General features: G+C 41.6%; 2 long non-coding RNA genes across 6 annotated transcripts in view, besides 1 other annotated feature; one reads left to right on the top strand and one right to left on the bottom strand.

Annotated features, from left to right (window-relative positions):
* Nucleotides 1–1293: 1293 nt before the first annotated feature.
* LINC02251 (long intergenic non-protein coding RNA 2251) lies at nt 1294–20594 on the bottom strand. 3 transcript variants are annotated; one of them, NR_146563.1, is made up of 3 exons: nt 20359–20594; nt 16463–16588; nt 1294–3176 (listed from the first exon to the last, which is right to left on the bottom strand). It is a non-coding gene; the product is annotated as a long intergenic non-protein coding RNA 2251 (long non-coding RNA). The 3 variants fall into 3 exon arrangements; NR_146564.1 differs by lacking the exon at nt 16463–16588; NR_146565.1 differs by lacking the exon at nt 16463–16588 and having other exon boundaries at nt 1294–2786.
* LOC105371009 (uncharacterized) overlaps nt 5842–24839 on the top strand; it is a 29043-nt gene continuing 10045 nt past the window's right edge. For 2 of the 3 annotated variants that reach the window (XR_001751697.2, XR_932697.3), the window contains exon 1: nt 5842–7203. This is a non-coding gene — a long non-coding RNA (uncharacterized LOC105371009). The remainder of the gene's footprint in view (nt 7204–24839) is intronic. The other variant, XR_001751698.2, reaches the window with a different exon arrangement.
* Nucleotides 19064–19565: an enhancer, noted in NCBI's record as "OCT4-NANOG hESC enhancer chr15:98547297-98547798 (GRCh37/hg19 assembly coordinates)". NCBI's record gives its function as "activates a minimal SCP1, AML or CMV promoter by ChIP-STARR-seq in naive H9 embryonic stem cells {active_cell/tissue: H9 hESC(naive)}" and the evidence as "EXISTENCE:reporter gene assay evidence [ECO:0000049][PMID:30033119]".

Below are 24839 nucleotides of genomic sequence, written 5' to 3'. Positions count from 1 at the left end.
ACATACAACTTCTAAAATCCTTAAAATCTCCAAAATAATGTCTTTTTGTGTGCTAATGAGATGACTGGTGGCAGACAGTCCCTAGGTAGCTTCAAATGGGGTGTATTAGTCCATTCTCATGCTGCTAATTAAGACATACCTAAGACTGGGTAATTTATACAGAAAAAGAGGTTTAATGGACTCACAGCTGCACATGGCTGGGGAGGTCTGCCAGTCATGGCAGAAGATGAAGGAGGAGCAAAGGCACATCTTACATGGCAGCAGGCAAGAGAGTATGTGCAGAGGAACTGTCCTTTATAAAACCATCAAATCTCATGAGACTTATTCACTGTCATGAGAGCAGCACAGGAAAAACCTGTCCCCATGATTCAATGACCTCCCACCAGGTCCCTCCCATGATGTGGGGATTATGGGAGCTACAATTCAAGGTGAGATTTGGGGGGGTCGGTGGGGACACAGCCAAACCATATCATGGGGGCTGGCCCCCAGAAAGACCAAGAAATGATTAGAGTGTTGGATTTTCATCCCCATCTCCCAGCCTCTTGGGAGGGGAAAGGGGTTGAAGGCTAAGTTGATCACCAGTGTCCAATGGTTTACCTCAATCATAAAATCTCAAAATGACTGGCTTTGGGGAGCTTCTAGATAGCTGAACACGTGGAGGTTCTTGAAGGATGGCATGCTCAGGGAAGGCATGGAAGCTCTGCACCCCTTCCCTAATACCTCGACCTATATATCTCTTCATCTGTATCATTTGTAATATCATTTATATTAAAAGTAAACTGGTGAACATGAGTGTTTCCCTTAGTTCTGTGAGCCACTCTGGCAAATTACTCAAATTTAAGTTGGGGATCATGTGACTTGATTTATAGCCAGCAGTTCAGAAGCATGGGCAAAACAACCTGTGCTTCTGATTGGCATCAGAAGTGGGATGGAAGCAGTTTTGTAGGACTGAGCCCTTAACTTGTGGGAGCTATGCTAACTCTCTGTAGATAGTGTCAGTACTGAATTGAACTAGAGGATTCCCAGCTAGTGTCTGCTGCAGAACTGATTGCTTTCTTGGTATGTAGGAGAAAACCACACACGCATTTGGACACAGAAGCCTTCTGTGTAATTGTTGTGGTATGGGAGCAGAGGAAAAGTAGTTTGTGTTTTCCACAGTTTGTGTTTGTGCTTTTTCCACCAAGAGTGGGGAAAACACTTTCTAAAATGTTAAACATAGAGTTACCATATGATCCAGTAATTCCACCCTGATGTATGTACCCAAAAGGATTGAAAGCAGAGTCTCAAGCAGGTATGTGTACATCCATGTTCATAACAGCATGATTTACAATTCCAAGAGGTAGAAACAATCCAAATGTTCATAAATGAATAAATGGATAAGCAAAATTAATATATACATGTATGTATACCAAATAGATAGATAGTAACTATTACAGAACTTTAAAGTGGAGTAAAATACTGATACTTCTTATGATATGGATGAACCTGGAAAGCCTCATGCTAAATGAAAGAAGCCAGATACAAAGGGTTGCGTAATGAATGATTCCATCTATATGAAGCATCCAGAATAGGCAAATCCATAGAGATAGTATTTCAGGAATCCAAGAGTAGAACTTTAAAAGCAGTTCAGATAATACATTTATTGAACGTACTATCCACACACACAGCGATCTATATACAGGAGTCCCTATATGGAGCCTGTTCATGATATTGGCCAGGTTTCTAGTGCAATTATTTCTCTTCCATCTTCTAAGTTTTCTTTCTATCTTTTAGTGTTACGCTCTCTCGTCTACAGGACTTTACTTCAAGTAGCCTCAACGCTTTTTTAGAAGTGGGTGAGATAAAGTTATAACTAAATAGCTAACCGAAAGCTCTCTTTACACTTAATAACAAACAAACAAAATGGCTTATTTGACCCAAAATAAAAATTTGATTAAAAAAACTCATAGCTCCATTGTTCTTTTGACTTAACATTCATGTTGCCAAGTGTGAAAGGTTCACTAAACTGAACATGGTTTCATTGTCTTTTTCTTCATAAGAAGGTTTTGTTAAGTCGAGCCGTTTCTGCTGTGCCAGTTTTATGGTGAGGTGTCCAGCTTTCCCTCCAATCACACTTCCCATTGGTATGTTATGAAACAGTTTATGGCCTTCATTAACTTTGATGATAATAATTAAATGAAGCTGTGAATTACATCCAGAGCCAGCTCTCTGGGGTGTTCCTGATTCAGTTTCCACAGACGATCAAGAGACGGTTGGTCTAACTAAGCCAGAGTCCAGAATATTGTGACTTAAATATCTATCTTCTGAAAATAGAAGTCTGTCCATAGAGAAAAATATAAGACCAGAAACAAATATAAGTCAATATGGAGAGATCCTTGCGATGAGCACAGAGACTGCAGTAGAGGAAGCTTCAGAGGGGAGGCTGTGCTTCCTCTGGGTGTCAGCCTGATTCAGTGAGAAGGAAAGGTTAATAGCACCTGCTAAGCCCTTATAATGAACTGAGCATATAGGGTCTCTTTAGTCCTCACAAAAGCCTCATAAAGATGCAGCACTGTGCCCACTGCCCAGAAGAGTGAACAAATGCTTGTTTCTCAGTAAACTTTATGGCATAAAGCAGAGGTCCCAGCTATGAGAACTGAAGCTGTGGATATCTTACAGTGTTCAATTCATATGGATGAAGGGTTATCTGGGCCCATGAGGGGCTGTCTGCCTGGCCGTGGGTCAGGGTCCCCTGAGTCTTCCATTGGAGTCCCATGATTTTATGCCTGATTCTAAGGAAGACAGTGCTGCAAAAAGAAGTAAGAAACAATGGGAAGGCTAGATCACTGTGCCCTCCAGAGTATATTCAATGACCCAGGTGGAGTCCTCAAAAGAGGCAGCCATGTGGCAGGACAGGGACAGGGATGGAGGTGTGGGTGCACCGTGTTAGCTTCATAGACTTACCACCGGGCATCTCCTAGGGAGGCTAAAGAAGGAGTGGAAAATGGCAAATGTCTTTGTTAAATAGTCCCTCTGAAGCACAGGTAAAATGCTTTCTGGAGAAACTGAGAATTATATGCAGAGGGGCTGAGGGTGAGAGCAAGTCAGTGACCTGCCTTCATGGAAGGGTCTGCATCAGACGTCAGACACGAGTGCTGCTGTCACCACAACCCAGGTTTTACTTTGCCTGGTATCATCTGGAAAACACACAATGATAAGTATAACATTATTTTTGTGCTGTTCTCAACCTCTAGAAAAGGAAGCACAATTGAATTGTAACAAATGCACTCTTAAAGGAATAAACAAGTAGATCAATGCTGCGGAACACAATTCAGAAAGTGACCAGTGAATATTTGGAATTTTAGTACCCGATAAAAGTGGCCTCCAAGCCAGAGTGTAATGAAGGGCTACTTACTTAATAAACGGTGTTGAGATAATTTGTTATCCCTTTGGCAAAAAGTAAATTTAGGTCACTTTATCACACCATGACAACAAAAAGCTAGGCAAATCAAATGCCTAAACAATAAAAACACCAGAAAAATAGAGTATATTCCTAACCTTGAGAATAAGAAAGGGATTTTGAGAAACAAAAATGCAAAACTTATACAGAAAAAGATGGCCAAGTATAACCGTGTCAGGGACATATATCAAGCTCTCAAAATTGTCCCATTGAAGCTTTTCTTGGTTTGAGCAGAACAAAAATGCATCATCTCTCACTGCCTCCATGGAGGTGGATGGCTGACAGCTTTCATCAAAACCTCTCTCCACTTAATGTCCTTCTCAAAGTCCTTTCAGGTCCTTGACATAGTTCAGGAATTAAGAGTCACATAACAATTTTTGGCCACTTCCATTGGTGTGCTCCATAATGATCTTGTATTTTACTTTAGAATATAGTATTTAGTATCTTGGGGCCTCAGCTAAAGCTAAGATTAAATAGTTATTTTTCATATCTTGGTGTGTGAATGTGTGTGTGTACTGTGTGTGTCTCATGACACTTCAAATTGATAGCAGCAGTACCTCTCAGGCAGGGGGAATGAGTGGAGTAGTGACTGGTCAAGAGTGATGTTAACTTTATCTGTGTTGTTTGAATTTTTATAGTGACAATATATTCATGTATTACTTGTGTAATTAAAAATAAATGAAATTAAATATACTCTAGCCTGTGCTGGATATGTTTCTGCAACTTAATTTCCATCTGCCAATGAAATAAATCTGAAACCTTTCATTTGGGTTAATGGTCCAACTTAATGTGTTGCTCTGTAGGAAAAAACCCGAATTGCAAGGAGGTTTTCAGGGCTCTGTGCTTTGGATTGCTCTTAAGGTCACAGTGTTTTCTTCTGATATTTGCTTTTTCCAGATGTATGCTCAGTGTGTAATGTACATTTGTCCTGGTCCTTGGCTGACCTAAAGGAGTAAATGGCAAGGCCAGCAACTTCCCCTCTTGCAAATGTGAGAGAATACATAGCTACCTGGTCCATTTCCAGCTGGAATCAAAGTCCAGTAGGTAGAATGTTTATTTGAACAGTGAAATTGAAATGGGCTTCTGTTTGGCGTCCCAAAATAAGCTGAATAACCACTTTTGTGATTTGCAGACAGCATCCCGGGGATATTTTGGCAAAGGGGCAGTCGTGAAATGAATGAGGTGATAAGTGCAAAATGGACAATGTGACTTTGGCTGGAAGCACGTGAGGCATGGCACTAAAGGCACACGGACCAATCTTTTTCCTCTGCACAGTCTTCCACACTGCAGTGACAATACCTTGGTGATACCTGTTTAGTGTTTTATAAACATTTCCAAGTGCTTCCACACCTTCACCGGCCCATTTTACACCTATCAAGTGCTCATAATGGTTGGTTGCAGGGCTGGGAGTAGAAAGAGCTGTTTCCTTTCAGAGTCTAGCTGGGGGAGGTAGACACTTCAGCTAGCGTTATAGCCTTCTGGAAAGGGCTTTGAGAGAAGGAAATACAGGAGCTAGGGGACAGCAAAGGCAGACATCAGAGGGAGGTGAGACAAGCCGGGCTGCTTTGGGAAGAGAGAGTGGCACAGGCTGAGGCACCGAGGTCTGGAATTGCACCATGGGTTTTGAGAAACGTAGGTAATGAGTCCAGTACATGATCACAGTGAAGCTTCAGCCACATGGAGAGTCTTGTGTGATCATTCATGGAGATTGAACCTGACGTGAAGGGAAGAACATTTGATGGATTCCAAGCAAGGGAGGGACTGGGACATATTTGCACTCCAGGGTGAAGCATCAACAGAAAGGAAGCACCACTGGAGGTTACGAGGCCATTTAGAGAGCTCTCTCAGCAATCCGCACAAATGAGGCTGCTCTAAGACAGAGGTACCCGGAAAGGTGGGAAGGAAATAGAATTGAGAGAAATGAAGGAGCTTCTATTGGTGTCTTCTTGGATGTTGGAGAGGTGTGGAGAAGGGTGTCTGGGTCGCTGTTTCCATCCAGGCACCATTCACAAGGTAGTGAGACTAAAAGGAGGATTAGGGTCAGGGGAGAGTTGAAAAGTCTGCTTTTATAATATGTATTTTCCCACACTTTCTACCCAAATTCCAGTGAACTGGGTATGATTGTAGGATGAAGTTTATCTTCTGGCAAGGAATTTTAGACACTCAATAAATGGACTTATCCAAGGCTTCCACCTGGTTATACCAAATATGGGAATATACTGGAGTTTTATTTGCTCTAGCACAGAGTTCCTTTAACTGAACTATGAAAGTTGAGTCCCTTTGACTGTACATCTACTCACTGTGCCTTAGAAGGCAGGATATATAGCAGATGCTCCTTGGACAGAATTCCTTCCCTTATTCAGCGCATGCTTATGAATGCCTCCCCTGAGCCAGGCAAGCTTGAGATGCTAGGAATTCAGCTGTGGAAGTTCAGCTCTCAAGAAGCTCACATCTAGGGTGCGGAGTTAGAGAAATCAGACCGGCACATGATACAGAAGGGACTAGGTGCTATGGAGAGACGTGAGCTGGGGAGGGGATAGCCTGTGTTGGGGTGGAGGCTGCTGCTTTAGAGAGATGAGGGAAGGCCACTGGAATCTGATGCTGAGCAGAGATCAGGGATTTTATATAAGGGAAGTGAGGGAGTGAGTCGTGGCCACCTGAGGAGAGCATTCCAGGATAAGGAAACAGCAGGTGCAAAGGCACTGCTGCAGGGAGGTGCTTGGTATATCCAGGGAGTGTGGAGAAGTCCCGTGTGGTGGCTGCAGAGGGAGCAGGGGGAGGATGGTGGGAGGTGAGAATGGAGACCTCTGAGGTAGGTCCTCGAGAGCCTTAGAGGCCACGCGAATTGCATGGGACCCACTGGAGGGAGCCATTCCCAGAGCCATGACAGGTTGGGACCTGCCTGCAAAGGACCACATTCTGGCCGTGGGGAAGGGCAGAAGCAGGAGACCAATTTGGAGGCTGGGACCTGGGGCCTGGGGCCTAGGACAGGCATGGTGAGCAGTGGTCAGTTTCTGAATCCATTCTCAGGGTAGACACAATAGGACTGGTGATTGATTGAATATGAGATGTGAGACAAAGACAAATGCCAAGGACGGCTCCAAGGGTTTTTCCTGAACAGCTGCCAGGATGAAGTTGGCATTTATTTAGGTGGAGGAAGAAAGGAAGGAGCAGGTTTGGGAGCTGGAGATAGAGATTCGTTTTTGAAAGTGTTAATTTGAGATGTTCAATTAGACACAGAGTGGAGATGCCAAATAGACAATTATACAGGAGTCTGGTGCTGAGTGTTGAGGTCTGGGATGGAGACATCACCCTGAGGGTCCTTGGCATTTAAATGCTGTTTAAAACCAGGAGGCTAGATGAGCTCACCAAGGGAGAGGGAAGGGATAGAAGAGGGAGAGGGTCTGAGGACTCAGCCCTGGAGCATAGATAATTAACAGGCAGATGGGGAGAAACTGGGAGAGGGGACTGAGAAGGAACAGCAGGCAAGAGAAAGAGGGCTAAGGGAGAGCCATGACCTACAATCAGGTCAAGAAGCATTTCTACAGGAGAGATTTATGCTGCCGATCTTCCAATAGATCAAGTAGCGTGGAGACCACTGAGACCCAGCCACTGGAGACCATTAGCCTAGGGAGGTCATTGGTGTCCTTGCCAAGCCCTGTTTTGGTTCTGGGTCCAGGAGACAGAGTGTAGTCAGAGGAGAGGAATCACAGACAGCCCAGTGCAGACAACAGGCAACTCTTTCAAGGAGTCATCTTATAAAGGTGCGTGGACACTCAGAGGAAACCTGGGGTAGGGAGAGGGTAGAGGGTGGGTGGTGGCGGAGTTCATTTAAATGTGTTTGGTTTTTAGTGGGCAGTATGACCACATTTTTTATGCTGATGGGATTCATTCTGGAGAGAAAGACACACTGGTGATGTAGGAGTGATACCTTAGACCATTCACATGTTGGACTAATTAGCAGTCACTGCATGTGTTAAGAGAGAGGAGTTGGGGTTGTTCAAGAACTCCTGTAAATGGAGAGCACCTGGCTAAGGGAGGGGCTGGTACAAATGGCTTATAAGCATTCAAAATAAATGTATTGGGGCTGTCCCTCAGGGGATGAGAAAATGTTGGATTCATGCTTTGTACTTTATATTACAGTGAATTCCAGATGTATTAAATTTAAATGCTAAAGGGCAAAATTATAAAGGTTTTAAAGTAAACCACAGAAGAAATTTTAAAAGCAGTCTTGGGGTATGGAAGACCTTCTGGAGCATGACACAAAAGCAGGGACCCCAAATGAAAATGCTGATAAATTCAACTTCATACAAGTAGAGAAATTCCACATAGCTAAAAATAATCAAAACATTAAAAAATACAGGGGAAGTGTCTGTAATTCATAAGACCAATAAAGAGCTAATTTCAAAAATACATAAGCTTTTACAAATCAATAAGATAAAGACAACCTAAAAGAGAAAATGAAAAAATGTTCCCAGATAGGCATTCTAAAGTGGTATGACTTACATGGAAGACAGTCTGGCAATATCTTTCAAAATTAAAAATGCATATACCTTTTTCCTAGAATCTTCATTATAGATATTTTCTCACAAATAAACTTCTACATGTGCAAAATAATGTTTACCCAGGAATCTTTGTGGCAGGATTGATTGTAATAGCAAAATATTGGAGGAAACCTAAAGGTGATCTCTCAGTAGGAGACTGGTTTTATTATAAATTATGAGACAGCTATACAAGGGAATACTATGTAGTCATTAAAAAGAACAAGGCAGTTCTTATGTAGTTAGATTTCTGAGAGACATTGTGAGAAGAGAGAGATCTAGAATACTTTGTTACATTTTTAAAATACATAAAACTGTTAAATCATATTCCACCATTTGTCACAGAAGCAATGTAGGAGTAAAAATAAACACACAGTCATGCCATGCCAAAAGCTGTGAGGTATGTTCCCTGCAGATGAGGACAGTGAGGAATCTCTGAAGCTAGAAGACATAAAAGGAAGATGGAACACAAAACAGCAAAGCTGCGGACACACGAGCCCTACAGGTGGGAGAAAAGCCCTCCCACAGAACCTCTCATTAATTCCTATCCCAGAATTCAGGAGGCCCTGGGAGAGTAGGTCTTCAATAGGCAATTAATTGAAGACTATGAGAAAACTGTTCTATTCTTCCATTTTCAGAGAGGCCAGTGTAGATGTATGACGTTTGTTTGTTTGTTTGTTTTTTTGAGACAGAGTCTCCCTCTGTCACCCAGGCTGGAGTGCAGTGGCGCGATCTCGGCTCACTGCAAGCTCTGCCTCCCGGGTTCTTGCCATTCTCCTGCCTCAGCCTCCCGAGTAGCTGGGACTACAGGCATCCACCACCACGCCCGGCTAATTTTTTTGTATTTTTAGTAGAGATGGGGTTTCACCGTGTTACCCAGGATGGTCTCGATCTCCTGACCTTGTGATCCGCCCGCCTCGGCCTCCCAAAGTGCTGGGATTACAGGCATGAGCCACCGCACCTGGCCAGATGTAGGATTTGTAGTCAGGAATAGGGCTTTCTGAGTTTGGAGTCCTTAGAGGAATCGAATAGAACTTTCTTAACTGGGTGAAGGTTATTAATCAGTGAGCTACAACAAATAATATATGTACTGATGAGATAACAGAAGCCTTCTCATCCAAGGGGAATAAATCAAAGGTATACTACCAGTGCTGTTGTTTAACATTGTACTGAGCCCTGGTCAAGGCAGTAAGTCAAGATTTACAAAGATAACAATTAGCTCCAGCCTAGGCAAAAAGAGCGAAACTCTGCCTCAAAAAACAAAACAAAACAAAATAATTAGATACTGGACAGAGATAACACTCTCATTAATTACAGATTGCTTATGACTGCTTAATGAAAGCCTTTTATATTTAGATACATTAAAAAACCATCTTATTTAGATAGTTCTAGTTAGGGCCAGGCACGGTGGCTCACACCTGTAATCCCAACACATTGGGAGGCTGAGGCAGGTGGATCACCTGAGCTCAGAAGTTCAACACCAGCCTGGCCAAACATAGTGAAACCCTGTCTCTGCTAAAAATAGAAAAATTAGCCGGCATGATGGCACATGACTGTAGTCTCTGCTACTCGGGAGGATGAGGCAGGAGAATTTCTTGAACCTGGGAGGCAGAGGTTGCAGTGAACTGAGATTGGGCTACTGCATTCCAGCCTGGTTGACAGAGCAAGACTCTATCTCAAAAAAAAAAAAAAAAAAAAAAAAGGTTCTAGTTAGTTTTCCATGGATTCTTGATTTTTTTTCTAAGCAAAAGTACCTGTATACAGTGTTGAAACAAGTTAGAAAATAAAGTTAGACATTAGTACACATCTGTTTCCTCTTTTTCCTCTTGCTCTCATTACATACACACTCACAAAGAAAGATGTTGATGGATCTAAGATCTAAATATGAAAGCCAAAACTATAAAACTATTAGGAGAAAATTTAGAAGAATACTTTTATAATCACTATTTTTCTCAGAAGCCACAAGGGAAAAAACTGATCAACTGGCTACAAAAAAAATACCAAAAACTTCTGCACCCTGAAACAATCATTAGATTAAAAATGTTTACTTTTTTTTTTAACAAAGTAAAATAACAGTAATAATCAGGGGCATCATTGGGCCAACGAATTGGTTGCAGCTGATTAACATCCATAATATAAATTAATAAAATGATAACTGAATTAAAAATGAACAAAAGGTATAAATAGGCAATTCACAGCAAAAAAGGACAACTATTAATAGTGGTAATTTTGCTTAGCCTCACTGGTAAACCAGAAAATGTAAATGAATGCTATAAGGCATGAATATATGTGTATATATAATATTCATATGTAATAGATATAATATCTAACATATGTATATTATATATATTTAGCTATGTAGAAATATATTAGCTATATAGAATATAATATACATATATAGATAGTATATATTATATAACATATATATTATATATTATATACATATATTGTACATAGGTATATTTTAAGTTTTATTTTGTTATATAGGTAATAAAATAAAAGTTTATTTTGTTATATAGGTAGACTCATGTCATGGGAGTTTGTTGTACATATTATTTCATCTCCCTGGTATTAAGCCTAGTACCCACCCAACAGTTATTTTTTTTTCTGCTCCTCTCTCTCTTCCCACCCTCCACCCTCAAGTAGGTCCCAGCGTCTGTTGTTCCCTTCTTCATGTTCATGAGTTCTCATAATTTAGCTCTCACTTATACGTGATACTATGCAGTATTTTACTTTCTGTTCTTACGTTAGTTTGCTAAGGATAATAACCTCCAGCTCCATCCATGTTCAAGCAAAGACATGATCTTGTTTTTTATGGCTGAGTGGTATTCTATGATGCATATGTACCACATTTTCTTAATTCTGTCTGTTGTTGATGGGCATTTAGGTTGATTCCATGTCTTTGCTGTTGTGAATAGTGCTGCAGTGAACATTTGCGTGCATGCGTCTTTATGGTAGAATGATTTATATTCCTCTGGGTACATACCTAGTTGTGGGATTGCTGGGTTGAATAGCAGTTCTGCTTTAACTCTTTGAGGAATCGTCATATTGCCTTCCACAATGGTTGAACTAATTTATTATATTACCACCAACAGTGTACAAGTGTTCCCTTTTCTCTGTAACCTTGCCAGCGTCTGTTATTTTTTAACTTTTTATTACTTGTCATTCTGACTGGTATAAGAAGCACTGATATTTTTAACAAAAGTTGTACAGATAAAATGTACTCATCATTGGTAAAGGTGTGGGTAAATGGCTCTTCTACAAATTGTTTGCAGCAGTATAAAACGGTAGGAGCCACTTTGGAAGGAAATTGAAAAGTATCAAAGTGTGTTCAACTTGCATATGCCTTTGAGCAAATGATTCTATTTCTAGAAATCTAACCTAATGTGAACATCCACACATGCTTCCCAAAATATATACAAGATATTCATCATTATTAATTGAATAATATAAAATGGAAACAACTTAAGTGTCTATTAATAGAGAATTATCAAGTAAATTCTATTTTATTCATACTACGTGAAAGTCCATAGTCTGCACTCTAAAATGCTGTACATACTGCCTCTCATTCAACTACACTGCCTTTGCATATTCCCAATAATGTGCCTTGTGAAACAGTAATTAATCAGCTAATCAGTTAATCCATCCATTCATTCATCCTTGCTTGCCTTAATTTTACAATCATTTATTTGTTTATTATTATTATTTTTTTGAGACGGAGTCTCGCTCTTTAGCTCAGGCCGGACTGCAGTGGCGCGATCTCAGCTCACTGCAAGCTCCGCCTCCCGGGTTCACGCTGTTCTCCTGCCTCAGCCTCCCGGGTAGCTGGGAATACAGGCGCCCGCCACCGCGCCCGGCTAATTTTTTTGTATTTTTAGTAGAGACGGGGTTTCACCATGTTAGCCAGGATGGTCTTGATCTCCTCACCTCGTGATGCTCCCATCTTGGCCTCCCAAAGTAAGCAGTCTGCTATGTTCTAACAGATATAAAGATTTTTTTTAAGTCCTCAAAAAAAACCTCAGGTGCATGCATGTTATAAGAAATTAATGTCACCCCGTTTATCATATGGAGGTCGCTCCTATTCCACAGTACTATTTATAAAAACATTCCACTGGAAATATCTTTCCTAGGCAATTGATGGAACATGGCTGAAACTAAATCTTGTTTTAGGCCCTTATTAGCAAAGTAACTTTGCACAGGCTGCCAAAACTCACTGGCCCTCAGGCTCTTCATCTGTAAAATGGGGTTAGGATACCAACTTTGCTATATCTTGGGAAAGGTTAAATGGAAAATGAACATGGCATGTAAAAGACGTTAAATAAATGTTTTTTACTTGAAGTGTTACCCTCAAGGAACTCATATTCCAGACTGTGAGATGACAGAATTGGGTAAAATAGTGTCATGAGAGAGGTAATCACAGGTAGGGGTGACACTGAAAATGTTTAGCAGCCTGTCTCACTTGGGTACCAACCAATGCAGGCACACTCAGCAGTGACCAGCAGTACTGGTACAGGGCCCTAGAAGTCCTCTGATGGTCCAGGCATCAGTCTTTTGGGAACTGGATCAACAGGAGATGAGGTAGAGAATTTCTAGGGGGCAAAAGCCAGGGCAGCCAGGGCTATGGAGAAGGATTTGGGGGGTTGCATGAGTGGGGTTAGCACAGTGACTATTTCCGGTAGGTGCAGAAGTATTTTAATATTTTAAGCATTGGCTTGAATTTATTAATGTCAGAAGTAAGGAGTGAATTGCTATTTTCCTTTCCTAAGTCTAATAAAAGGCACAAAAGAGTAATAAAAAATTATTGTGAAGTTTTGGACCAACAGTAACCAAATGAAGAAAAGCTTAGCCTGGAGCCACAAAGTCCAAAGCCTGGTGGCCAAGGAAAAAACAGAAGGTCTTGGAGAGGACAGAGAGACCTCAGTGGGGATGGTTCCTAATAACCCCTCTCCACCCTCAGAAGCCACGCTAAGTGGTCAGAGCCCTTAAAATTCTCACTGTGTACCCCCATCTCCAAAGAAAAGGAGCTCTTTACATTTTCTTTATCTAAGAGATAAGTGGAGATGGCTGTTGGAGAGACAGGTATGAAACTAGACATGTGATCAACAGAGCAGTCACTTTCTTTATCCAAAGAGAGGACATGGCAACTACACAGGGAATTGGGGGTATTCCCAATGGGAGTGGGACCACCCCCTACTCCCACACCAACCAGATGAAATGAGTCCTGGTAAAGAATATTTAACAAATGCTTGGAGGGAGAGCTGAATGCAGGCATTCTTTTTAAAACAAGAAAGGAAAATTAAAAAGCAGCATTCGTTTAGCATTCCCTGAACCTCTAACATGTTCTTGGGGTAGAGAAAATGAGTGGACTATGATATATTCACTCATCTGAAAATCACGGATCAGTGAGAAAACAGTGACCCAGACTTTATCAGAGCAAACATGTGCCTAATCAGAGTTGGGCAAACATAAGCCAGATGGAAAATGCAATATGATGACCAAGTCGACCTCTTTCAGGTGCAAAAGTACCATGTATGTGGGGGTGGGGGCCCAGAGGATCATGGTGTGAAAAAAAAGAGGAAGCCAAGCTAGAAGAAAATACGAGATGAAAGGAAATTATTAGCAATCGTTTTATGTTACAGAGCAATTTAGTAAGAATGAAAATTCGGGTTAGCTCAAGATAAAATGGTCAAAGGCAGTTAAATAGAAGAGAACTTTCAGATCGTAGGACATAAGCAAAAACCCAGTTGTTACTGAACTGAAACATAAATTTGGTTAAAAATATAAAAAGATAACTGCAGACTGGGAGAAAATACTTGCAAATCATTTCTGCAGTAAAGAACTTACATTCAGAATATGTAAAGAATACTCAAAATTGAATAAGAAAACAAGAAATCCAATTGTAAAATAGGCAAAAGATTTACAAAGTGAAATGAAAACTGTGTTCACACAAAAACTTAAAGCCAAATGTTTATAGAAGCTTTATTTGCAATCAACCCAAACTGGAAATAACTCAAATGTCCCTCAAGAGGGGAATGGATAAACACACTGTGGTACATCCATAAAATGTAATAGTATAGAGCAATAAAAAGAACAAGCTACTGGTGCCAGCAACAGCATGAATGGATATCAAATGTATTACACTAAATGAAAGAAGCCAAAGTCTACATTATATATGATTGCATTTATATAATATTTTGGAAAAGGCAAAACGATACAGACAGAAAACAGATTGGTAGTTTCCAGGGCCCACAAAAGGGTGTGAGCAAATATTTTGAAGATGAATGATTGTTCTGCATGTTGATCGTGGTCGTGGTTACATGACTGTTTATCAACGTGAAGAACTCTGCATTAAAAGGGTGAATTTATGGCATGTAAATAATGCCTTAATAAGAAAATGAAAAATAATGTAAAAAAATTAGAAACACCAAGAACAGGGAAAAGTCTAAAAAATCAAATTAGTGATGTGAAGAAAAGTCCTAATATAATCACTGAGTATTGTAAGTGATAAAGGCAAAAATATTAAAATAGGAGAGAAACTAATATGTTTGTGCACCATTCAACATAAGGTAAAGTGATGTCTCTGGAAAAAAAACAAAAAACCCTACAAATGGAAAAATATATTTGATATTTAAAATTTTCTGAAAGAACAAATAACCATACCATATTTTAAAAAAATTGTTCCAGAATTCTTAATACTTAGACACTTACTACTTAAGCTATTGTGTTTTATAAATACTCTTTTTCCCATGAATCCAGGCAGAAAAGTAAAATTGCTACTACAAAGAAGAAAATTCAGCTGGCCTCAGACTTTTCTATACTGATTGCCTGTACCAAAAAAACATGAAGTCTTAAGGCAAGAAGACTCACTAAAAGAGTCACTTGGTTATTCATAGCCAAGGTGCCTTCAAAATCTAAAGGTAATAAGGAAATATTGTCAAACATGAAATAACTCAAGTGAACATCTTTGAACCATTTTGGAAATTAAAAAACAAACAAGGCAGGGCACAGTGGCTCATGCCTGTAATCCCAGCACTCTGGGAGGCTGTGGTGGGTGGATTGCTTGAGCCCAGTTCGAGACCAGCCTAGACAATATGGTGAAACCCCGTCTCTACAAAAAATACCATTAGCCAGGCATGGTGGTGCATGCCCGTAGTTCCAGCTACTCAAGAGGCTGAGGTAGGAGGATTGCTTGAACCCGGGAGGCAGAGGTTGCAGTGAGCCAAGATGGCACTACTGCACTCCAGCCTGGACACAGAGACGCTGTCTCAATAAAAAAAAAAAATGAACAAACAAATTTTAAAAATAAATAAAAATAAAAACCAAAACAAACAGCAAATAGCTCTGTGTAAGTCTCATCTAACCAAAGGGTTTTTTAAAAAGTAAACTGAGCAGGAGAAAATGTGTTAAATGGCTTTGTAGTGAGGATTGAATCTATTTAAGTATAAAACTTGTTATTAATAATGATAAGAATTATGGGTCCAGATCATCTTGCAGACATGATGTGCCTGCAAATCATTTAAAAATGTTCTAAAATAACAAACAATTGGGTCTTGGCAGAATTGCTAAGAGCCCACGTCTAAAACTGAAGCATAAAGATTTGTTTAAAATGGATCTGACTGTTCCTTTGTTTTCCTTAATCTTCATTTTTTACTTTAGAAAGATCTTTTTGGAAATAACACTTGTGTGGTAAAGAGACATTTATTTCAAAGTGAAGTGTCTCTTTAGTTAGTCTTTTCATTTTCAACTTCAATTCAAATTCAGCTAAAATTAAATACAATAATTTTTATAAAAATACAATCTATGGAATGTTCTAATATTTATAACAGTTTTCCTGACTAGCTCTCTATCCTTTTAGCTCTGTATATGCATAGAAAGATAACGATAGTCATAATAATAGTAATAATAGTAGTAATAATATTTAACATTTATGTCATGTATATGCTAGGTGTTTTATGTGGGTTAGCTCATGACAGTAACCCCTGTGGTGTAAGTACTATCATCATCATCTTCATTTACAGATAAGGAAACTGAGACACCATTTGTGTCCTGCCTGGACACGTGTGAGTGGACCAGGAGAGACCCAGAGGCAGTCAGGCTGGCTCCTGCCTGTCTCCTGCTCTTTGCTGACATGCTTAGTGACCTCTTAAAGATTCATGGTGGCCAATTCTAAGAGAAGGAATATTTTTTTCACTTTTATCTGTGTACATATTTTTCCATAATTGTCTGAATTCTTTTAGCTATGTGTATTTTTTAAGAAAGCATAATTTTTAAAAAAAATTGTAAAGAGTTAGAAGTAAGTTTAAAATAGGCTAAGATATAAGTGGGATGCTGAAAGTTAGATTGTTTTACTTCTTTGAATTTGTATCTTAAATTTTTACATTTTGAAATATTGAAGAAAAAATGAGTGATCTGATTTAAAGTGAGATTGACTCCCTTTTAGGCAGACCAGCCAAGCAGCTATCTCTCTTTGGGTTTAATTTACCTTTTCATTTTTATATTAGTAGTACTTGATCCTTTGCCTGTTAATTTCTCCAAAGTTCATTGTTTAGAAATACATGCATTCCTGCTTCTTCTCAAAGTGCATTGGTATCCACCAAGAAGAGGAGTGCTGTGGAGTATAAATAATTACAGTGACATAAAATGGGAAGGAAAAGATGCCTATGGGAAGAACATGTTATTTTTAAATAATTGTTTTTGGAAGAACCAATGTCGGGTCTTTACAAACTTCATTACAGAATTTATACAAGGCTCTGTCACCAACTCTCTCTGTTCATCTCTACTAAGCCCACTGAGAAAAATTGTAAGGTACTTATCTTACATATTTATATAAATAACTTATTCATATAAATAAATATTTTATCATCATACACAAATGACTGGATGGATTCTCAGTAAATCTGGGGAGTATTAGAGGTATAGATGTACTTAAAATATTCAGGCTATCTAGTGAGCCAGAAATTGTATCAGGAGACATGGGAGTCATTTCAGAGCAGCTGGAACTGAAGGAAAGAATTTATTAAATTCAGAAATTGAGTTTTGAGACCATCTAACTTAAAATTATAGGCTTTGGAACATAACTCCCAAATTTTTTCAGGTTTTTTAAAGAAGCCCCTTAAAAGGACAGGCAGCATCCCCCATTGACACTAAGACATCGCTAGAGGCTGGTGTGACCCCTAAGCTGGGCCAGTAGAGAGGAAGAGCCTAGTGGTTTCATACTCATGCTGGGATTGGAAGTCACAGGACCAAACCCCACTGACAGCAGGCACTGTGACCCAGCTGCGTGGAGTCAGGACGGTTCATCACTGTGATTCACCTTAACCATGATGTGCCTGGGTGCTCTGGAAAGGCCAGCTGGAGACAGTGATAGAAACAGGCAACGTATTGAGTGGTCAATATGGGGGGTGCCCCCTGTGCCCAAGCATGTATAATCCCCTCCAATCCTAACAATTGATCAATGAGGGAAATTTAATTATCTGGTGATGTCAGTGAGGAAATAGAGGCTTGAAACGATGAACATTTCTCAAGGTGACACCTGGAGAATGGCAGAGGCAGCAGATAAACCAGGGCTGGTTGAGAGCATGACTGTAGGGTTTTGAATCCCTGCTCCAGCACTGACTAAGGTGTAGGCTTAGCATGTTTCTCAACTTTTCTGTAACTCGGTTTCCCGGTCTATAAAGTGCAGAATATAATAGTATAATTGTTGCCGGGCTGTGATGAGGGTCAAACAAGCTAATAAATATAAACCTCTGGGTGGTGTTTGACAAGTGCAGGAGCCCAGAACACAGGTGCAATTATTCTCACGGCTGTGGTATCTCACGGTGCCACGTATGCTCAGCTTCTTTCACGCTTGACACAGCCACAAGAAGATATTGGTTGTCCCCCAGAAAAGTAATGTGATTGACTTTTCAAACTCTACACTGATTTTTAAAACTGCAAGGCCGTGAATTCAAGATTCCGTGACTAGAAAATGCCTGGCACTTCCTTACAAGGCTCTAATATTGTCACTCAAATGACGGACAGTGAAGCTTGAGTAGGGATGGGGCTGGCAAGCAGAAAATGGCAACTTTGCCATGATGACATGAGGCTCCCTGAAGGATTCTAAGTGTTGGCATTCTTGATGCCTATATTAGTCTGTTCTCATGCTGCTAATAAAGACATACCAGAGACTGGGTAATTTATAAAGGCAAGAGGTTTAATGGACTCACAGTTTCACATTGCTGGGGAGGCCTCACAATCATGGCAGAAGGCAAAGGAGAAGCAAAGGCATATCTTACATGGCAGCAGGCAAGAAGTGCACGTGCGGGGGAACTCCCCTTTATAAAACCATCAGATCTCCTGAGACTTATTCACTCAGGAGAACAGCACAGGAAAGACCTGCCCCCATGATTCGATTACCTCCCACCTGGTCACTCCCACAACACAGTGGAATTATGGGAGCTACAATTTGAGATTTGGGTGGGGACACAGCAAAACTATCAGTGACTAATTTGGCTTCCCCCACACCCATTGACTCTGTCATGGCCTTAATCTCTGGGACTGTCTCCCTCTCTGAAGGTGCTCAGAGTCTCGCGTAGTCAAAGCCACTTGGTCTTCTGTTGAATGTCATTAAGGAATCACAAGACAAAGGCCAGTAGAGAGGGTTAGGCCGTGTATGTATCGCACAAACTGACTGAACTATACTAATGAATCAGTAACTTTTTTGTTCAGGTAGACAATCGATGATTGGGGTTGTTGTTTTACCTGGATGAAAGACGGGTGTTTTAGACACCTCTTTGTATTGGTGTCATTATTTCTTTAGCAACATGACCAAACACTGGCGTTTTTCTTGTGTCCTATGGACTTGGTTTACATGACTATAAACACTTATCCCTTGTTACATGTTCATTTTCCACTGGAATAAATTTGGAAAAAGAAAAAAAAAGAAGAAAAGCTGGCCTCTTTTTGACTAAATAGTAAAAATAGAGACTGAGAGATAAGGTCAGTATTTCCTGGGGGATTAAGAGAGAAGCTACAGGGGATTCCAGAATCATTCCAGAAACATAAAGAAAAAGCAGGTGAAAAGAAGGGCTCAGAGTAATGTCCCTGCATCAGCTAGTGGTATGTATCACTCTTCAGGCATCAGGGCCAATACTCAGGCATCTCAAATGGAGAGGAGAGTGGACTCACAGAGAAAGAGAGGAGAAATATTCTATTAATATTTGAGGCTTTCCAGAGGGATGCTTTAGGCAACGGGGAATCGCCTTACTGAGGAGTTCTTTGACTCCTTCTCACATCATGGAGATATTGTTATGTTTATGAGATACCATTAATCCCCTCTCTATGTCAGCCTTTCCCCTTGGCTTAAAGTGAGCCTTCCTCTCTGCCTGTTCTAAATGGGAACGATGCCTCTGTTGGCTAATTTGCAATAGACCCTGTGATCAGGCAGTTCTCTCCCACACAGTAGTTGAACCAGTCTTTGTGGGTGAGTAATTGAGGTGTCTGGAGTCTGTACAATTATAGCTTAGAGGATGTCATGCATCATGCCTCTCACGGAGTTTCTTCCCCAAGGCAGTGGGGATAATTGTGCACTTGATCCCTTGTTCCAGGAACATCCAAACTGAGGCATCAATTCTTGCAGTCTAATGCTCCATTGTATCCAGGTGAACCTGAGCACGTTTGCTACCTTTGTCACCCAGAAAGCTCCTATGCCTTCCAGTTGGTCTTCTTAACTGCCACAATTCAGTCTCACCAATACCCTAAATTGCAACTCTGCACACTCCTCCCCATGCTCTGATCCATCTATTGACTCCACAGACTCTTTATCTGTCCACCTCACGTACTGTGCTCCTATAAGATCAAGTTGCTGGCAGTTCCCCATACGCTCTAGGGCTCTAGGTTTCCACGCCTTTATTTACAATCCTGCCTCCTCCTGGGATTCTCCTCTTTACCTGTCATCATCAGGCCAGGTCTTACTCATCTTTCAGGTATGAATTCAGACATGATACTCTCCAGGAAGCTTTTCTTAAACTCCTGGGTTAATCCCCAGGCACCCTGGGCATTATTCCACATTAACACTAATCTCGAGATTATGCACCCATCTTCTTGTGAAATTTTCTTGGGCAGCGACCTTGTCTTATTTGTTCCTGAGTACCTAGCACCTGACCCAGTGCCTGATGCTTAGTAGAGACTCACAGAGTGTTTGTTGAACTGACCTGGTTTTGATTCCCATGGTAATACATTCTGATCAGATCCTTGTCAACAAGTCTGTCCCTTTCGTTTGCACAGCCCTTGACCTTATCATGAGGGGAAGTCATCAGAGTATGGAGTTGAGGCTTGAGATGATCCATAACTTCCCCTGGAACCCAGATCCAGTGCTGAGCACAGCAAAGGGAGACTCACCTCTGGGCCTTGGGAGAACGTGAGCGAGATGTTAGAACTTTGCTTCCTCTGGTCCCTGGTCATTGATAGATGGTTTCCTCTTGCCCTGTTTGTATGCTCTGCGGTCTCCTGTGCCTTGTTGCCATCCAGGGCATGGGGGGTGAGCTGGCTGCTGCCCTTCAGAGGCTCCAGCAGGCTTGGTAAACAGCCTTGTAGTGTGGGCTGTGGCCAAAGTCTTCCCCAGACTGTGCCTGAGTGAGGAAGGGCAACAGAGGCCCTTTGTCTCCCAGGTTCTTTCCACCTCCCCTCCCCTTCCTGCCATTTGCTTCCCAGCTGAGGGAAAGTGCAGGATGCGGGGGCACCCAGAAAGTTGCCCTGGGCAATTGGTGTACTGCCCTCCTTAGGAAGGGGACAGCAGATAGCTTCTGAGTGTGAGCAGCCACTCACATACACCACACACCCGTCACATACACACACATCGCATACACCACACGTTACATACACCACACACACCCAATATATACCACACACCACATACACATGCATCACATACATCACACATGTTACATACACCACACACCACATGCACACCCAATGTACACCACACACACTATATAAACACACATTGCATACACCACACGTTACATACACCACACACCACACACACACCCAATATATACCACATACCATACACACACATCACATACACCACACATGTTACATACACCACACACCACACACATACCCAATGTACACCATGCACACCACATACACACACATCACATACACCACACATGTAACATACACCACACATGCTATGCACACATCCTATATATACCACACACACCACATACACAGACATTGCATACACCACACGTTGCATGCACCACACACCACACACACCACAAACACCACACATACACCCAATGTACACCAAACCCACCACATACATACACATTGCATACACTACACATTACATACACCACACACCACACACATCCAATGTATACCACACACACCACATACACACACATCATATACACCACACATTACATACACCACACACCACACACACACCAAATATATACCACACACATCACATACACACACATTGCATACACCACACACGTTGCATACACCACACATGCCACACACATAATCACACATTGCCTACACCACACATGTTGCATATAACACACGTACCACACACACCTCATACATCAGACATGTAACACGTACTGCATGCCACGCATACCCCAATATGCACCACACACACCACATATACACACATACACACATTACATACACTACACATATACCACACATTGCATACACCACACATGTTACGTACACCACACATCACACACACACCCAATGTACGCCACATCATACACACACATTACGTATACCACACATGCCACACACACCCAATATACACCACACATATCACATACACCACACATGTTACATATACCACACACCACATACCCCACACAGCACACACACATCACATGCACCACACGACACACACACTCCTAATATACACTACACACACCACATACAAACCACATATACAAACACCATGTACACACGTTACCTACACACGTTACATACACAACACATATCACACACACCCATTGTACACCATACACACCACATATCACACATACTACATACACATACATAACATGTCACACACCCAATATACACCACACATGCCACATACACATACATCACATACACCATGTATGCTACACACAATACCCATATACACTACACACACCACACATACCACATACAGCATATGCCACACACACCCAATATATACCATACACATCACACACCCAATATACTCCACACACACCACATATGCATATATCACTACACCACCCACAGTATGCACAGCACACACAGCACATACACTTCCCTTCTATATACACCACATGTGTATAGGTATATAGGTATATGGTGTATGTGGTGTATATAGGCAAGAAAACCATGCCTGTGTCCTCCTGACTCACATATAAGTGAGTCACATATTATGCACATGTGAATGTGTGCACAATATACACACCACACACTCAGCACACATACATCACACACACATACACCGCACACACACACCACACACCACATACCATACATACACGCACTCCATATACACCACACACACATACATACCACACGCCCACACCTCACATACATACACCACACACACCACACCCATCCTCCACCACACACACACATCACCTACACCACTCACACACCTAATGTACACTACACACACCCTACACCATACATGACACACACCACACACATCAGTCTCACACACACCACACACCCACTCAGTCCCCCACATAATCACACACCCACACTCTACACACATACTATTCATACAAGCCACACACACTATACCACACACACAACGCACACACATATCACATACACCCTATACCACTCACATACCCTCTCACACACATACCACACCACACCCGCATACCACACACACCACACACACATTTGTAATTCTTTGGCAACCCCGCTCCTACTTGAGGTCATGTCTGTGGTTGATACGCTCCCATGGCCAGCTCCTCAGACAAAAGAATTGCTTTCATCTTTACTGGCCGCTTGGTTGTAGAAATGTGGTAGAGCCTGCCACAGGTCAGGGAGGCTGGAGCATGAGACGGATTTCCAAAGTGACTCAAATGCCAGGAGTCGTAAAAGTCGTTATGGAGTCATAAAATCTCAAGGTTTCTTTTGTATTTGAATAAAGATAATGGATTTTACCACTTTATTGAGTTCCAGAAACAGAGTCCAAGTAATATTCCCATGCTCTGTAATAGGGGAATTGGCTGGAATAAAGCAATCTATGACTGGTTTGTATCATTGATTCTAAGACTTTCCTCATGCTCCTACTGGGTATTCCAGGAACAGCCAAAGGAAGGTGCTGTGTTCTTCCTCCTACATTCAGGTGAAGGATGGGATCCCATGTGGATTTTAAAATCCACAACTGCAGGCATACATGCATCTGTGGAGTTGGGTCCAGCCATGCTAGCACATGGGAGCTCCCGGCCTCTCTCTGTGCCAGGTTTGTCTGTTGACCATGGTCACTTCAAAACAGAATGTTTCCTTCAAAACTAGGGGGCAAATTGGAGTCAACCTGGAAAATGCTTATGGCTTTTTTTTTTTTTTTTTTTTTTTTTGTGAGACGGAGTCTTACTCTGTCTCCAGGCTGGATGGAGTGCAGTGGTGCAATCTCGGCCCACTGCAACCTCCGCCACCCGGGTTCAAGCGATTCCCCTGCCTCAGCCTCCTGAGTAGCTGGGACTACAGGCACCTGCTACCACGCCTGGCTAATTTTTTGTATTTTAGTAGAGACAGAGTTTCACCATGTTGGCCAGGATGGTCTTGATCTCCTGACATCGTGATCTGCCCACCTCGGCCTCCCAAAGTGCTGGGATTACGGCATGAGCCAACACCCCCAGCCTGGCTGGCTGTCTTCTATTTTAGCTTCCATTGAGGAAAAAAGAACTTCTGAATTTTTTATCACCCAAACATGCCATTTAGAAGAAGTGGTATATTAGTTTTCTAGGGCTTCCATCACAAAGTACCACAGAATGGGTGGCTGAAACAACAGAAGTTTATTTATTCACAGCTCTGGAGGCTGGAAGGCTGAGATCAAGGTGTCAGCAGGGTGGGTTCTCCTGAGGCCTGTCTCCTTGGCTTGCAAGTGGGGGTCTTCTACATGTCTTTCCTTGGTGCATGTCTGTGTCCAAATCTCCTCTTCTTATAAGAACACCAATTATGTGGGATTAGAGCCCCCACTAAAGACCTCATTTTATGTAATCTCAGCACTTTGGGAGGCCGAGGCGGGCAGATCACTTGAGGTCAGGAGTTTGAGACCAGCCTGGCCAATATGGTGAGACCCTGTCTCTACTGAAAATACAAAAATTAGCCAGAAGAGGTGGTGGACACCTGTAATCCCAGCTATTCAGGAGGCTGAGGCATGAGAATTGCTTGAACCCAGGAGGCAGAGGTTGCAGTGAGCCGAGATCACACCACTGCATTGCAGCCTGGGCAACAGAGCGAGACTCTGTCTCAAAAATAAATAAATAAATAAATAAAATAAATAAATACATAAAAAGACCTCATTTTAACTTTAAAGACCTTACCTCCAAACACAGTCACAATCTGAGGCACTGGGGGTTAGGACTTCCACATAAAAGTATGGGGAGGCGGGCACAACTTAGTCCTTAACAGCCCATGAAATATTCCTCCTACAATTTTGTTAAAGGCTTTGTTTTTATCAAAAGAAAAGAAGCTTTAAATTAGAGAGGCATTCTCTGCCATAAAATACCAAGAAGCCACTTCCTGTCAAAGTCATTCTTTCCCAAGGGAGTTTCCCAGACACCTCCCTTGGGTTTCATGAAGAGCAATAAGTCTGTGTCTCTACCTTTCATGGTATGGCCCTGGGGACTGAGTGTAATTGTGCTGTCTTGTTT

Source organism: Homo sapiens, chromosome 15 (assembly GCF_000001405.40).
Source record: "Homo sapiens chromosome 15, GRCh38.p14 Primary Assembly".
NCBI lineage: Eukaryota > Metazoa > Chordata > Mammalia > Primates > Hominidae > Homo > Homo sapiens.
The sequence above is the reverse complement of the archived record's forward strand: the minus strand, read 5'-3'. Positions and strand labels throughout refer to the sequence as shown.